At 36.2% G+C, this 15,704-nt stretch overlaps 1 protein-coding gene across 5 annotated transcripts in view; it reads right to left on the bottom strand.

Moving 5' to 3' along the window:
* Window positions 1-15,704, bottom strand: part of DYNC2LI1 (dynein cytoplasmic 2 light intermediate chain 1) — a 54,309-nt gene that overhangs the window by 25,587 nt on the left and 13,018 nt on the right. For 2 of the 5 annotated variants that reach the window (NM_001348913.2, NM_001193464.2), the window contains exons 4-10: window positions 15,511-15,580; window positions 13,040-13,128; window positions 8,118-8,304; window positions 6,803-6,874; window positions 5,966-6,043; window positions 1,844-1,920; window positions 1,052-1,122 (exon numbers count right to left, since the gene is read on the bottom strand). In NM_001348913.2, coding sequence (NP_001335842.1) covers window positions 1,052-1,122; window positions 1,844-1,920; window positions 5,966-6,043; window positions 6,803-6,874; window positions 8,118-8,304; window positions 13,040-13,128; window positions 15,511-15,580 — 644 coding nt within the window. Of the gene's footprint in view, window positions 1-1,051; window positions 1,123-1,843; window positions 1,921-5,965; window positions 6,044-6,802; window positions 6,875-7,581; window positions 8,305-13,039; window positions 13,129-15,510; window positions 15,581-15,704 lie in introns of those variants that run through there. The other 3 variants (NM_001348912.2, NM_016008.4, NM_015522.4) reach the window with 2 other exon arrangements.

Below are 15,704 nucleotides of genomic sequence, written 5' to 3'. Positions count from 1 at the left end.
TCTCCCACACTATGGCACGTCTATTCATCTTCACATGGGCTTTCATAGAGCAAAAGTTTTTAATTCCGATGAGATCTAGGCGCCATGATTTTTAAATTCAGCAATTATGAACTCTCTTCTGGCCTCCAACTATTCATAGAAGCAAAAGAATTCCATCAGCATTATCTATCAGTACAACAGTGATTCTCACTGCTACTGGAATTAAGTTGGTGCTAATTATAATCATAAACATCAGTCTCCATGACCATTCACTAAGCAAAATCACCTCCATTCCTTTCATTCCAATTAATCTATAATCTCATTACAAAGATTTCTATATTTGAAGTCAAGTCACCTTTAGCTTGTAAGACTAACAGAGGATGGGAAATACAAAAAAAAAAAAAAAACCCTACTGCCCATTAGAGTTTTAAAAGCAAACTACGCCACCTGCAGAGGATAAAGAAGTGCGAGGCTCAAAGATCTTCACAATGAAAACAGTTTCTGTGGGAAGGTAAGGGCCTTGAGATATAAACTCTTAAACTTCCTTTTGATTCAGAAGCCTATAGAGTCTATGAGTTTAGGAAATACATTCCATTAGATGAGGCATGCTATTTCATAACAAAAAATCAAATCATACCTAATTGTTACAACTGTGTTCTTTTTGGTTTACTCTACCACTTCAGTCTCTCATATACTTGCTAATTGCCTGTAATATGTAGCTTTGAATTTCCTCACTACTCTATGCTCCTAGCTTCTTTAAAGCCAAGGAGCTAAAATTTAAAAGTACCTGGAAATCAGTTGGGGAAAGAAAATACTTGCAATTTGTTTTTCAGTGGAATAGAGATCAGAAATGAAAAATCAGTCTCTTATGTGGTGACATCACTTCCATCACAAACATGTCAATGTGATGCATGTTACATTAATACTGGGCATATAAACAAACACACAGGAAATAACAGCAATGATAATGAAACCAGAAATAGGAGTATGTTGGAGACAAAGTGAACATGGAGTAGGACAAAATCAATAAGCAATTAAAAAAAGATTGAACAATCTTAATAAGTTCACTAACCTATTTGACCGAAAGAATCCAATCCTGCTGTGATAAACAGCGGTTTATTCTGATCCACACATATTGATTTGCTACGTGGAGAAGAGAAAGATTCTAAATTAGTTTAGCAATTAGATTTGCTGCCACGCTCTCCTGTAAATATGACAGCAATATTATCGGCTAGTTTTACATTTAGCCACTAATGAGAGCATTGCCCCGAATGAATGAGTGACTATCAATTTAAGTGATTTCAAAAATTAACATATAGCATAAATAAACATTTTATAGGAAAAAAAGTGACAGACCCTATTACCTTAAATCAAAACCAAGAGAAGTAGCAAGGCTAAGAAGATACATACCAAAATTTTCAATTCCATTTCAAATCAGTAAAAGAAAGTGATAGTAGAGGGAAGCTACTGAAGTGTGGGAAAGGAAGTAAAAGAAATCAGGGAGCTAGTATAATATTATCATTATTTTATTCCAGCCTCAAACTAAATGTTATGTAACATTTTGGTTGTAAAATTTAAGAAATATTTAAAGAATATAAGAAGCAGGAAATAATATGAAATTATCCCCTTTATGTTGAGTCTTGACAAAATAAATAATAATATTAATAATTAAAAATAATAATAAAATAAATAATAAAATAAATAAAATAATAATAATTTAAAAAGAAATTATCCCTTTAAGAAAAGCCATCTGGGTCACTTTCCTGGTCAAGACACAAGAGACTGAGTAGAACAATAATCAGATGAGACAACATTGGCTAAATCAATCACTCAATAAATGATATAAAAAATATCTTAGCAGTACCTTTTGTCAATGCCAAATGCCAACTGGTTGATAACTCCACGTATTTTTAGTAATAGAGCTTCTGATTTACTGGTAAACTTTAAACAAATCAGGAGAACAAATTACATGCTCTATTTTCCAATCACAGAAACAGGTAAAATAAATATGGCTTTGAACAAATACAGATTACAAAGAGAATCACTGTTTTGTTGCCCAGCAAATACTTCTGTTTGAGTAGACAAAACAAAACCTGAATAAAGAAATCTTGGTAACTTTAACTCGTTCTTCAAACTTAATGAGTACATGATGTGGAAAGGACTTGTGTTTATGTACTCATCATTTCAGCTACTCACACAAATGGACCATAATCACTGTCAAATAATTTCTTTAAAATATATATATATGAATGTATGTTTATGGGCTGTATGTGTGTAAACATACTCATTATGGTCTAAAAGAAAATTTTCCAAAATGCAGTTGGGTTGGTTAGAAAATAAGAGGTATACCTCAAAAGTAGCTTTCACATCCAAGGGCGTATTGCTGCCTTCCAAAGAGTCACTGTGGGACTGCAGACTGGTCTAATGATGCTGATACTCACTAAGGTAATTTTTTAACTTCTTTTTAAATTGCTTTTGGTGCCTAAGCTACTGAATATTTTCAGTGCTGGTATATAACTAGGGAAACCAGAACCAGAACATTTCAGAGAATGAAAGGGGTTGGGTACTATTAATAATTAAGCTGTGACATCAGATGAATACCAGGACATATGGTTACCCTACAGATCTTTAAAAGCTAGATTGGATTTCTGTAGATACCAAAAGTCATTCACAGCCAAGTCAAAATGACTAAGAGGTATGGAAGTGGGAAAAACAACTTTGAACTGAAATGAAATCTAATTGTGAAGCAAAGGTATCAGCGTTATGGTTCCAATGGTAATTCCACAAGATAAGCCTCATTCTGGATTAAGAACAGAAAGTTCTTAATGCTCTCAGAGAAAGTATTCAAATGAGAATACTCATGTATATGTAAGATCTGACACATTTATTAAAGAAAGCATTGAAATAATTGTAATGCTTCTACTGAGACCATGTTTTAAAATACATACAGAAAACTTTAACTGAATTTTAGAAATATAACTGCTCTGTTTAATTTTATTTTCTTTATGAGAAAGGAAAAACCTAATCACAAACATATTTCATAGAAGATAGGGCTGGGAGAACATTAGATGTTTTCTAACCCAACTCCTCCATCTGCTGCATCAATCACTTCTAAAACATCCTTCACAAAGAACTGTAGGCCTTCTGCTTAAACAAACTCAATGCCTGGAAACTCATCTCCCCAAATAATTCATTGTTTTCAGATAATGGTAGTATTAGAATGTGCTTTCATATTTTGAGTAAACTCTATTGATTCCTTTTTCTGGACCTTAGAATAGCAAAGAATGAATTTAGTCACTTTTCCATGGAACATTCCTTCAACTATATTAGAGAGTTATCACATTTTAGGTGATATTCTCCTGGTCCTCATATATAATAATTTTAAGTCCCTGCCATCCTCATGGCTCTTCTCTGATTCTGGTTCTACTTATCAGTCTTCTCCTGTTCTTTTGGGGGGCGAGGAGCATATTGGTTTTTTAAGAGATGGGGTCTCGCTCTGCTTCCCAGGCTGGAGTGCAGCAGTGTGATCATAACTCACTGCAGCCTCAAACTGCCAGGCTCAGGCAATCGTCCCTGCCTCAGCCTCCTAAGTAGCTAGGATCACAGGCATGCACTATGATGACTGGCTAATTAAAAAAATTTTTTGTCAAGACAAGGTCTCATTTTGTTGCCCAGGCTGGTCTTGAACTTCTGGCCTCAACTGATCTTCCCACCTCACCCTCCAAGTGTTGAGATTAGAGGCAAGAGCTACCACACCTGGCCTGTGTTTTGTTTTTATTAACTTAATTAGATTGTTCATAATATTGAATCAATATTCTCAACTGCACTATATAGGATCAACTATAGTGTTGGAAAAAAAAAAAACCCTGCTAAATTTCATGGAATTTTGCAAAGCAGTACCCAACTTTCTTCCTTAAATGGGGCAGAGGGTAAGAAGAGATGTGAAACTGAAAGATGAGGCTTTGATCACTTTGGCTACATTCTTCCTGAAAGGCCTTATGGTTCCTTTGGTGGTCCAGAAGTACTCCACTAACCCAAACCCTGTTCCTTTAGGCTTATTAAAAGCTGAGATGAAGCCATTCTCAAAGTCATTCCCTGGTCCCTGATCTTGTTTGATCTCCTGGGCCATGGTTAATCCCAGGCTTGCTGTGGACTGCGTTGACCTGACTTCATCTAAATTTGTACCCATGAGACCAGACTGGACCCTCCATCAAATGTAATCTGTTCCTAAAGAAATACAGGGATTTCCCTCAGCTAACTTTATAACCAGAATTAAATGTGTGACCCTCTCTAGTGGCAAAAATAAGTAACTGCAAGATCTTTACCTCTGTACCCTCGATGAGCCATTCACTTTAAATTCCCCATATCCTCTCAAAATAGTAAAGAACATTTCCCAAAGTACTGTGTCAACCTAATACGTAAGCAAATACGATTCAAACATAAAAGGTGATCATTTTTAAGAAAATACATAATGAAATGTGTAATGTTTTGAAAGGTATAAAAACTGACAATACATATTTTGTACATATTACTTTCAGTTAAAATATTCTAGCCATGAAAGCAAGCGGCTAGACCATGTTGTCTCTAGGTTCCTCTGAGTGCTTTAATTTGGAGGAAAAAAGAGACCATTAAATAATTATTCAAATGTAAAGGAAATTTTTTTTTTTTTGAGACAAGCCCAGTCTGGAGTGCAGTGGTGTGATTTTGGTTCACTGCAGCCTTGACCTCCTGAGCTCATGTGATCCTCCCACCTCAGCCTCCCAAGTAGCTGAGACAACTGGTGTGTGCCACCATGGCCAGCTAATTTTTAAAATTTTTTGTAGAGACAGGTTCTCACCATGTTGCCCAGGCTGGTCTGAAACTCCTGAGCTCAAATGATCCTCTCGCCTTAGCCTCCCAAAGTGTTAGGACTACAGGTGTGAGCCACTGCACCCAGCTGGAAATTTTTTAAATAAAAATGTTTTGGCCAGGCATGGTGGCTCACGCTTGTAATCCCAGCAGTTTGGGAGGCCGAGGAGGGTCGATCATGAGGTCAGGAGTTCAAGACCAGCCTGGCCAACATAGTGAAACCCCATCTCTATTAAAAATACAAAAATTAGCCAGGTGTGGTGGCACGTGCCTGTAGTCCCAGCTACTCAGGAGGCTGAGGCAGGAGAATCACTTGAACCCAGGAGATAGAGGTTGCAGTGAGCCGAGACCATGCTATTATACTCCAGCCTGGGTGACGGAGTGAGACTGTCTCAAAAAAAAAAAAAAAAAAAAAAAAGTTGTTATATTTTATTGCATTAAAGGACATTTAGTAAAGTTTAGTCCTGCTATGGGAGATAATGATAACAGTGATATAATAACCAACATTTATTGAGTAATATTCTGTTCTAGGCCCTGTGCTAAGCATTTCACATGTACTCCCTCTTTGAATCCTCACAACAACCCTATGAAGAAGGTACTGTTTTTCTCCATTTTACCCTGGAGGACAATGAGGCTTAAGTGAAATTAAGTGACTTGCCGAAGATCACACGTCTAATAAATGGTCACTCTGAGATTCGAACCCAGGGAGCATGACTTCAGATTTCATGTTTTTAACTTTTACAACAAACAGCACTTTTTTAAAGAGCCCCCATCCCCAATACACACACTGATAGAGTTGATTTTTGTTTTTCTTTTAGGGGAATATAGATTCTAATTCTTAAGGGGATACCAAAAATGAATAAATAGATCATCAACTTATCTCTTTAAACTTGGTTGGGATTTATGGATATAAGCAATTTAGAACTTTTGTTCCAAAGAAGGGGGAGACCATCTAGCAGTGCATGTTCAACAGATGCATTATCAAACACTCTGTAAGGAGAGGTCTTCAGCAGTGGGAAAGCAACGGGACCATGTGCATTAGCAAAAGCATTTATTCCTCGTAGCTGTGCATCAAGTTGCTGATTTCCCCAAATTTGGTACTGTCCATTCAAGCCCAAAGGACAAGAAATGTACAAACCATTAATGATGCTCCATAATAATGTGCAACAAATCGAAGTGTCTTGCATATTACCTTTCTCTTCTCAGACTCAAAATCCTGTAGAAATATGTTATTTTAAAAAGTCAAGATAACCAAATATCTATAGCAGGAAGATTCAAATTATTAAATGTAGAATAGATTATTTCTTATTTTTTTAAACTCACTTTCAGGAATAGGATTCCATTACCTTGATATTTATTTCATAGAGAGTTGAACAATAGCTGCAGCCTTCTTAGAACTACAGCTAACAGATCTTTCTTTGTTTAAATACTTAGCTCAATAGAATTTAGATATAAGCACACATTTCATAGTGTGGAATTCTAACGATTCTCTGACAAGCAAAGATAAGAAGGAACTAATTTTCTACTTTCTTCCATTTAAAAGTTGGGAAGTAAGTCATATTCCCCAGTGACTGGGTTGAAGACTTTTTTTTTTTTTTTTGAGACAAGTGTCTCACTGTGTAACCCAGGCTGGAGTATAGTGGTGTGATTACAGCTCACTGTAACCTCAAATTCCTGGGCTCAATTGATCCTCCCCCTTCAGCCTCCCAAAGTGCTGGGACTACTGGCATAAGCCACTGTGCCCGGCAAGATTCATTTTCTAAATCTGCCTTATCCCCATTCTAATCACTGCATTTATTTTCTTTACCTATTTTTTTCTGTCCCAACTATGTCTTTTCCAAAATCTTTAAGATGCATGACTTAACCGATTCCTTCAATAATTATTTTTCTTATTTTGATATTATTTTTGTACCTCCCTCATAAAAAGCACAGCCATATATGTACAACAAACTCAGCTAGAAGCGGAAGAGCTTACCTGAAAAACATCATATTTACTTCCAATTATGACCAGAGGTACCGGAAATGGGTCAATTAATTCATGATCCTGCTAATAAACATATTTCCTTGAGTTGTTGTAATTCTTTATTGCTAGGTGCTTAGCAATTTCTATTTACTTCCAAAAACATTCCATTTTCAGTCTCTTCATAGATGTTTACTTAATTTGCTTGACATAGAATTTGTTCTAATATTTAACTTTCACTTCCTAAGCTATATTTCATAAGTGTAAAACTAGAAATGGCAATTCCCTAAATTACTATGATATTTATTATTTTCCTTTTTCTACCCTTTTATTTCCTTATATAACATATTACCTTCCTGGTTTTTTTTTATTCTATTTTATGTTGACTGTTGGAACAGCATTTATCCAGCATAGATTTGTTTTGTTCCATTATTTCCTATGAAAAACACTTCCTCTCTTTTTTTTTCTTTTGAGGCAGAGTCTCCCTCTGGAGTCAGGCTGGAGTGTAGTGGCGCGATCTCGGCTCACTGCAACCTCCACTTCCCAGGTTCAAGCGATTCTCCTGCCTCAGCCTCCCAAGTAGCTGGGACTACAGGCATGTACCACCACACCCAGCTAATTTTAGTATCTTAAGTAGAGACGGGGTTTCACCATGTCGGCCAGGATGGTCTTGATCTCTTGACGTCGTGATCCGCCCGCCTCGGCCACCCAAAGTGCTGGGATTACAAGCATGAGCCATCGCACCCTGCTACACTTTCTTATAAACTCTGGATAATATAAAATGCTGCTCTCAGTTTTCCAGATGATGATATTTATTATTGTATTTGAAGAACTTGTGTTACCATCATAGCAACTTTATAATTTAATTAGCTGTCAGATGATAAAAAGATACTGAATAAGTGACAGAAACGAAATGAATGTAAAATACAGAGTGATGGTGAAGGCTATTACAACTCTACCCCTTGCTTAAAGTTGTAGCTTCATCTAGTCTTTGTCAGGTGACTTTTGTACAATCTGGCTTTTTATCTTCATTTTTACAGAGATTATAAAATCAATATCAAACCACTACTTTAAAACTCTATTTCTCTGATTGGTGTAATATGCCATAACAATCACAGAAGATGTCTAACAAGAAGATATAAGGAATCTTCTTCCTTGTTTTGCTCTTACTGAGGTTTTAATAAATTGCTGTAATTTTCCAGTGAACAGGTTCATCTACATCAAATGAATTTCAAGTCATGCATAAAAATCTAAAGAAGTTGTTTGTGATGTTATCATTAACTATAAATGGGACTAAGGATTCCAGTAATAATCCCAAACAGCAACTCACAGGATGATCCTTCGGCATATTATTCCAGATCTTCTGTCTCATTTCAGAAACTGCTTTAGCATTTGTCTTTCCCAGTTTCATTATCACTTTGTCTACATGGCTTTTTGTGGCTTGCAAGAGATTTTCCATGGTGGGCCAGAGATCATTAGGTTTTGAAAGATCCAGAACGAGAACAAGAGAAAACGTCCTAAAGAAATAAAAACACTTTTCAAAAAAGACTCAAAATAATTACCATTTTGAAATCCTAATGTACTGAAATTTATCTAAGAATAACTAAAATATACCTTAAGGGGAAAAAAAAACCGTAGCATTATTCTAAGACTCCCAAAAACAAAAAACCAAAGTCATAGCCTTATTTATTCCAATACTTTCCTCTAGTAATATTTAAGTGTTACAATAGTGGAACTAAGTTTCTGTTTGAACTAAAATTAAAAGTAGTTTAGTTCAAATAGAGAAGCTCCAAGCATTTGCATCGACAATGCCACGTTTACATCCAGTTTTACTGTGTGCTCCAAAAAAGGGAAGCAAAAATAATAAAAGAAGCAAAAACAGTAACACAATAATCAGGTAAAGGAGAAGAAAATAGATATATGGGTGGACCTTGCTAGGGAACTACCTAGTTAATCTCCACAATAACCCTCTCCAGAAGATGTTATAATGTCCATTTTATAGATTAGAAGTCTGAGGCACAGATTTATATAATTAGTAAATTGTAGAACTGGTATTTAGATCCAAAGTTACACGTTTTTCTGCAATACCATTCTGTCTCTCTGAAAGCACACTCCTGACCACCAGATACATGACCACCATCACCACATGCACTTGTATTCTGTTCATGCCCATCAAACATAAACCTAGACTCGGCAACAAAAACAAACATTCCTGTTCAAAAATGGGCAAAGAGGCCAGGGATGGTGGCTCATGTCTGTAATTCTAGAGCTTTGGGAAGCTGAGGCAGGAGGATCACTTGAGGCCAGGAGTTCAAGACCAGCCTGGGCAACATAGTGAGACCCCAACTCAACTATATTAAAAAAAAAAAAAAAGAAGGCAAAAGACTCAAATAGACATTTCGCCAAAGAAGATATACAGATGGCCAATTAACACATGAAAAGATGTCCAACTTCCTATCCATTAGGCTAGCTATTGTCAAAACATTTTTTTGTTGTTGTTTTTGGAGGAGGAGTCTCTATTGTCCAGGCTGGAGTACAGTGGCATGATCTCAGCTCACTGCAACCTCTGCCTCCCGGGTTCAAGCCATTCTCCTGCCTCAGCCTCCCAAGTAGCTGGGATCACAGGCATGCACCACCACATCCGGCTAATTTTTGTATTTTTAGTAGAGACGAGGTTTCACCATGTTGCCCAGGCTGGTCTCGAACTCCTGACCTCAGGTGATCTACCCACCTCAGCCTCCCAAAGTGTTGGGATTACAGGTGTAAGCCACCACTCCTGGCCTAAAACATTTTTTTAAATGAGAAGATAACAAGTATTAGTGAGGATACAGAGAAATTAGAACCCCTGTACATTGCTTATGGGAATGTAAAATGGTGCAGCCACTGTGTAAAATAGTATAGTGATTCCTCAAAAAATTCACCATAGAATTACCAGATGATCCAGCAATTCCACTTCTGAGTCTAAACCCAAAAGAACTGAAGGAAGAGATTTAAACAGATAATGTACACCAATGTTCATACCAGCATTACTCACAATAGTCAAAAGATGAAAACAACCCAAATGTTCTGCATGGATTAACGGATAACTGAACTGTGGTATTTGTTTACACAATGGAACATTATTTAGCCTTAGAAGTGAGGGAAATCCTGACACATACTACAAACGGAAGAACCCTGAAGACGTTATGCTAAATGAAATAAATAACAAAAGGACAAATAATGAATGATTTCATTTATATGAGGTACTGGAGTGGTCAAATTCATAGAGACAGGCAGTAGGGATGATAGTTGCCAGGAGCTGGGGAAGGAAAAACAAGGAGTTATTGTTTAATAGGTAAAGAGTTTCAGTTTGAGAAGATCAAAAAGTTCTGGAGATGTATGGTGATGAGAATATACTTGATGTTACTGAACTGCACAGTTAAAAATGACTAAAATTTTACGCTATGTATATTTTACGACAATAAAAACTAAACATTTGTAAATCTAGGAGTATTTTTAAAAATGGTTATAATAAGTATGTAGAACCATAATCCTTGATGGTTTAGGATTATATCCAATATAACCAATATATCCTTGATCAACACAGCAAACATTCTGCTAGAAGACATAGCACAAAATTATAATATGTTATTTAATTATTTTGTTTAGTTCAAGTAAACAGGCTATTTTGTATAATTCAAGCAAAACAGTAACAATTCTGTTGGTCTAAATTCAGAAAGTAGTCTTTTACACATTAATTATCAAATTTTCTAAAAATTATTGTGCTATTACATTGTCTAGGCAATTATATTTATGTCATTTTAATAAGCTCATAAGCAGTTTTGCTTAAGTGTAAAAATAGTATATACATTTTTAATTGTACTAATTTCATTTTCAGGGTTTTGGTATGGTTGTGTTTCAACTATGATTTAACATTTTTTCATTGTGATGAAATGGATATAACATAAAATTTATTATTTTTTCAAATGAAAAATTATTCTAAGCAAAAGAAAAATAAATTACTCAAATTTTTTCTAAGATTAAAATTTTTGTTTACAGTATATTAGAAATACTTTTGTTACTTTTTACCTATTTCATAGCAAATGATAGCCAAAAAATTTTTTTACATAAACTCCTAAAACAGAGATTCAGACTACAGGAAATGTTCTATTACAAATTGTCTAAAGTGTGTGGAAATGTTCAATGCATTTATAATTCTATAAACAGTTATTTCAAAGATAAACAGTATCTAACAGTATTTGGCAATATTGTTTTCTCAAGTTGTGAGACTTCATCCAACACAAGGAAATTATGTGTCAAACTAATTCCAGTCAAAAACAGTTTGAGTGTTTTTGACATGGTGAATGAAATGTTTTTCCATGAATTATTTAACCACCCAGCAACCTACTTTAGACCCAAGCCTATGGCTCCCTTTCCCTTTCCCTCTGTTGATCATAACCCTGACCCTTCCTCTCTCCTAAAGCAGGTCCCAGCTGTCATGGGGCTCCAGGGAAAGGAAGCCCAAGACCTCACAAATGAGGTATTAACCCTTGGGATGATCTGGCTTCCTGCAGAACCTAGAATTTCCACAACCCCAGCAGGCCAAAACCTTTTGGGCTTCAAGAAGGGGAGTGAGGTAATAAAACAAGTCAGTTGAATAGGAGGCGACTCCCAACCCAGGTAAGAGCCACCTCCTGTATTTTCACCCTTTCAGCCTCTGGCCACTGTAACTGGAAGCTCCTCCCACCCTATCTCTCTCTCTCTCTTTTTTAAAGAGACAATGTCTCACTCTGTCACTCAGGCTGGAGTACAGTGGTATGATCATAGCTTACTGCAGCCTTGAACTCCCTGGCTCACGCAATCCTCCTGCCTCAGCCACCTGTGTAGCTGGTACTACAGAGGCTTGCTATGATGCCTGGCTAATTTTATTTTTTAATTTTTTTGTAGAGATGGGGTCTCACTATGTTGCCCAGGCTGGTCTTGAACTCCAGACCTCAAGTGATCCACTGGCTCTGGCCTCTCAAAGTGCTGAGATTACAGGCCTGAGCCACCGCACCTGGCCCCTCACCATCTCTTCTCAACCACACCACTAGGCACTATTCCCAGGCAGCTTCACTTATTTGTCACCATTAAAGAAAGACAAATGAAAAACTATATAACTGTAAAATTCCATGTTCCTGAAAAATAAAATCATAGAGAAAAGTGTTCAAAAGTGGAAAAGCAAGATCTAAATATGTATATAAAATATCCCAAACCTGTACGAAGTCTATTTACAGACATTGAAAAGGCTGAAATACCTCAACATGTTAAAGTGGTTATTTTTTAATGTGATTCTGGTTCCTTTTACTTTGTGTCTTTCAGTATTTTTACAAGTTTTCTGTAAGCGCATATATTACTTTTCTAATAAGTGAAAGAAAGTAAATCATATTTCACTAAAAGGAAAAAAAAAAAGACCAAATAAAACCAACCGTATCCAGCCAGTTCTAGAAAAACAACGGTCCCATTAACAAGAAATAATTCAATCCTCCAAGGAGCTTAATGACCAACATGTAACAACTAATTGTCAAGCCCTTTGTATTTGATCCAGGCAGCAGCAATGGTTTATGTTAAACTCTAAGAACAAAATATTTCAGATTAAAAAAAATTGTTTTTCTTAGCTAAGACCAGTTCCCAGGAACACTAAGAAATGTCACAATTTTCCACATATTTGGCCAACATGTGGGAGTTACTGTCAGGAAAACATCACTCAAGCGTTTTGAGGTTTTCCTCTAAGTTCTATTTCTCTAAGGTCAGCAAACGGAGAGACTTTCTCTCTTCTCCGACATATAGTCTTCCTTTAAATGAAGCTTCAAGAATATTAATTAGCACTAAATTCAAAGGTAGCTTATAATACTCAGCTGAAGAAAAAACTCAGAGCCGAATTAACTCATACTGAGATGGATAACAGAAAGAATTAGGCTTTTCAAATTTATTTTTACAAAATGAATTCACTGCCCAAGTGTAATTTGATGTATTTTTGTTTGTTTGTTTTCAGCTTGCAAAATATGTTACTGGGGGGAATGTCAGCTATCTCAGTTCAGCACGGGCCAAAATCTTGGTTCTTTTAAAACTTCTTTGAAAGCATTACAGGTTAGGCATTTAGAAAGGAAGTGGGCATAAGCCTTCAGCAACATAAAACTGTGCCCCAAAATTCTGACTGAGAAAAGCCAACTCATATTCCTCCTAGGGACACTCCTGTGTACTTACAGGTTTTCCTGGAGCTGGCTCACTTACCGTAAGGTGTCACCTGTGATGGGTATGCTGATTAAGTCCAATAAAGAGGTTCCTCCACCGAGTTCCCAAAAGTGAGCGATATCTTTTGGCTGAAAAACAAAAATTTTTGATTTTTTGAAGTTTAAGTACTTCTTATATGTCATTAGCACTTCCCAGTAATAATTATACATACAAAATATTGCAGTCCTTAATCAACCCTTTCTTGGCAGTCAAAATTTTTTCCTTTATCCCATCCCTCAAAATGCATCAAAGCACCTACTCTAAAGAAAAATGATGAACTATTCAGAATTGTTTATATGTGTACACAAATGCCCTAATTCTAGTAATACCTAAACAGAAGACATCAACAGTGCGTCAATCTTGTAAATAACATATGTAGCATATACTTATGCAGATTTTAGATAAAAATTAACCCGTTCAACAAATTTCGTATTATCTTTTGGAAAACATTTATAATTCTAGATAGAAATAAAACAGGTGAATAGGAAAACATTCCTATTTAGGAAGACAGAAGCTCGCAGAATGAATTAGACACACGTAAAGCATGAAGAAAAGGGACAAACAAATGGCAATCCTGGCTGCGGATCAAGATTACTTGAGCAAAAGTATAAGCAGACGATTTGTTCCTGATTCCTGTGGAGAATCTGACAGGCTACCACTGACAATAATACACGGTAGGTGGGGGAACAAGAGTTCAAACAACTGCTTCTCTTTTCATAGGACCCTCAAAATAATAGGAAACTGACAGGGCTAGGCAGCCAAGAAGTTCAGAAATAAGATCATCTAGGGTTGGGTGCAGTGGTTCACACCTGTAAACCCCAGCACTTTGGGAGGCCAAGGCTGGAGGATCACTTGAAGCCAGGAGTTCAAGGTCAGTCTGGCCAACACAGTGAGACTCCATCACTATAAACAATTTTTTTAAATTAGCTGAGTGTGGTGGTACATGCTTGTAGTGAATTTGTGGTGACAGTTTACTTGGGAGGCTAATGCGGGAGGATTCTTTGAGCCCAGGAGTTTGAGGCTGCCATGAGCTATGATCCTGCCACTGTACTCCAGCCTGGGAAACAAAGTGAGACCTTGTCTCCGAAAGAAAAAGAAAAGAAAAGAAAAAGGACCACTGATTCCATAAGACGTTCCTAGACTGTTGGCTAATGGCATTTCTGCTTCTGTCCTGACACTGAAGACACTTCAGGTCACTGAAATTGTGAGGAGCTGACAAAGTGCTTCTATTTAGGACTCCTAGGGAATTAAATCTGAGAAAGACATGATGCTTCCAGAATGAATATGGAAATATCCCACTTGATAGTACACAGTTTAGAAAAAAAATTACACAAGTTTTTACGTATCTGCTCCCATGAGCCTGGAAGAGACAGATTGTCAATAAAATAAGTTTTAGGTGAATATATATTATTTTGGATTTTTGACAAAATTTCATCCTGTAATCTCTACAATTGTTTGGCTGTTCATATTTGAATCATTAATTTTTGTGGGAAAAACAATTCTTCCCTGGAAAATCTCCCTCCATTCACAATTTGATAAAGGGAAGCTTTTAGAGCTCTTCTCAAAAGTTAAGCTTATGAGAGCTGTCTCAAAGTTTCCAATGAAAAGCATAATTACATTTCTAGGCTTATTACTCATGTCAAAATTCAAGTGACTCACAAAAATGAAGTTCTCCTGTATCTCTATATATTATGTTTTTTTCTTTAAATTTCAGTTTTAATAACCCACTTTCATTGGTGAATCCTGGAAGCAACAATAGGCAGTTTTATCTCTTTATACACTGTCTAATGAGGAAATATTTGGACTAAGTCAGTGTATAAAAATGTGCCTGTGTTAGCAGAGTAGCGGGATGCTCCATTCTAGATTGTCCTTCTACACACTTAACTTTAAGAAATGATCTCTTTTCAGGTGACAACTCCAAAAAGATTCTATTTAGGAATTCCCCACCCCACCCCCTGCCAGCATATACTATGAACCCTTCTTCTATCCTGAAGAGTTTATCATGTTCCTCTAAAGAGACATTAAAACAAGTGAAAATAGGATTATAATCAAGCAGGGCATATGACCTCAACTAGTACTATCAACTTCAAGATGCATTTTTAAATGCTAATAATTTAGATTTTAAACAGTATATTTTCATAAATATTCCACAGGTCAAACCTATATTTTAGCAGATTTTTTGAGAGACAGAAAATAACTCACAACACTATTCTCATGAACTGTACAATAAAGTTAAAAAGGTATCTTATTCTAGCATTTTAAGACATAATAAATGAGAAGGCTAAAATGTTTTCACAGTTTGGGTTGGCTTCTATCTGCCACACTGCATTTGAAGTTTAATGGTAGACAGCTACGAAGTGTACAACTGGGTATGTTTATTGATTACAGATGAGATGGAAAATGTAAAACAAAGTCAGCAGCATTACTTTCCCATCTATGGGCATAGCAATGTCACTTTAAAAGACACTTACTGTGTTGTGCCCTTTTGCTCTTCTTCCATATGTATATTCCAAAGCTAAGGTTGGTTTTGGTGGTTCATCTCTGTATAATAAAGGCCGATAGTATTATCATTGTAGGTGGTATTAGTTTCTTATGCTATCACCTTACCTGATTCATTTTTCCTTCCTCTTGAAAACTTTATTAGTAGAGAAGTTACCTTGTATAA

The sequence above is a fragment of the Homo sapiens genome, chromosome 2, assembly GCF_000001405.40.
Source record: "Homo sapiens chromosome 2, GRCh38.p14 Primary Assembly".
Taxonomy (NCBI): Eukaryota; Metazoa; Chordata; class Mammalia; order Primates; family Hominidae; genus Homo; species Homo sapiens.
Note: the sequence above shows the minus strand (reverse complement) of the source record. Positions and strands in the feature narration are given on the sequence as shown.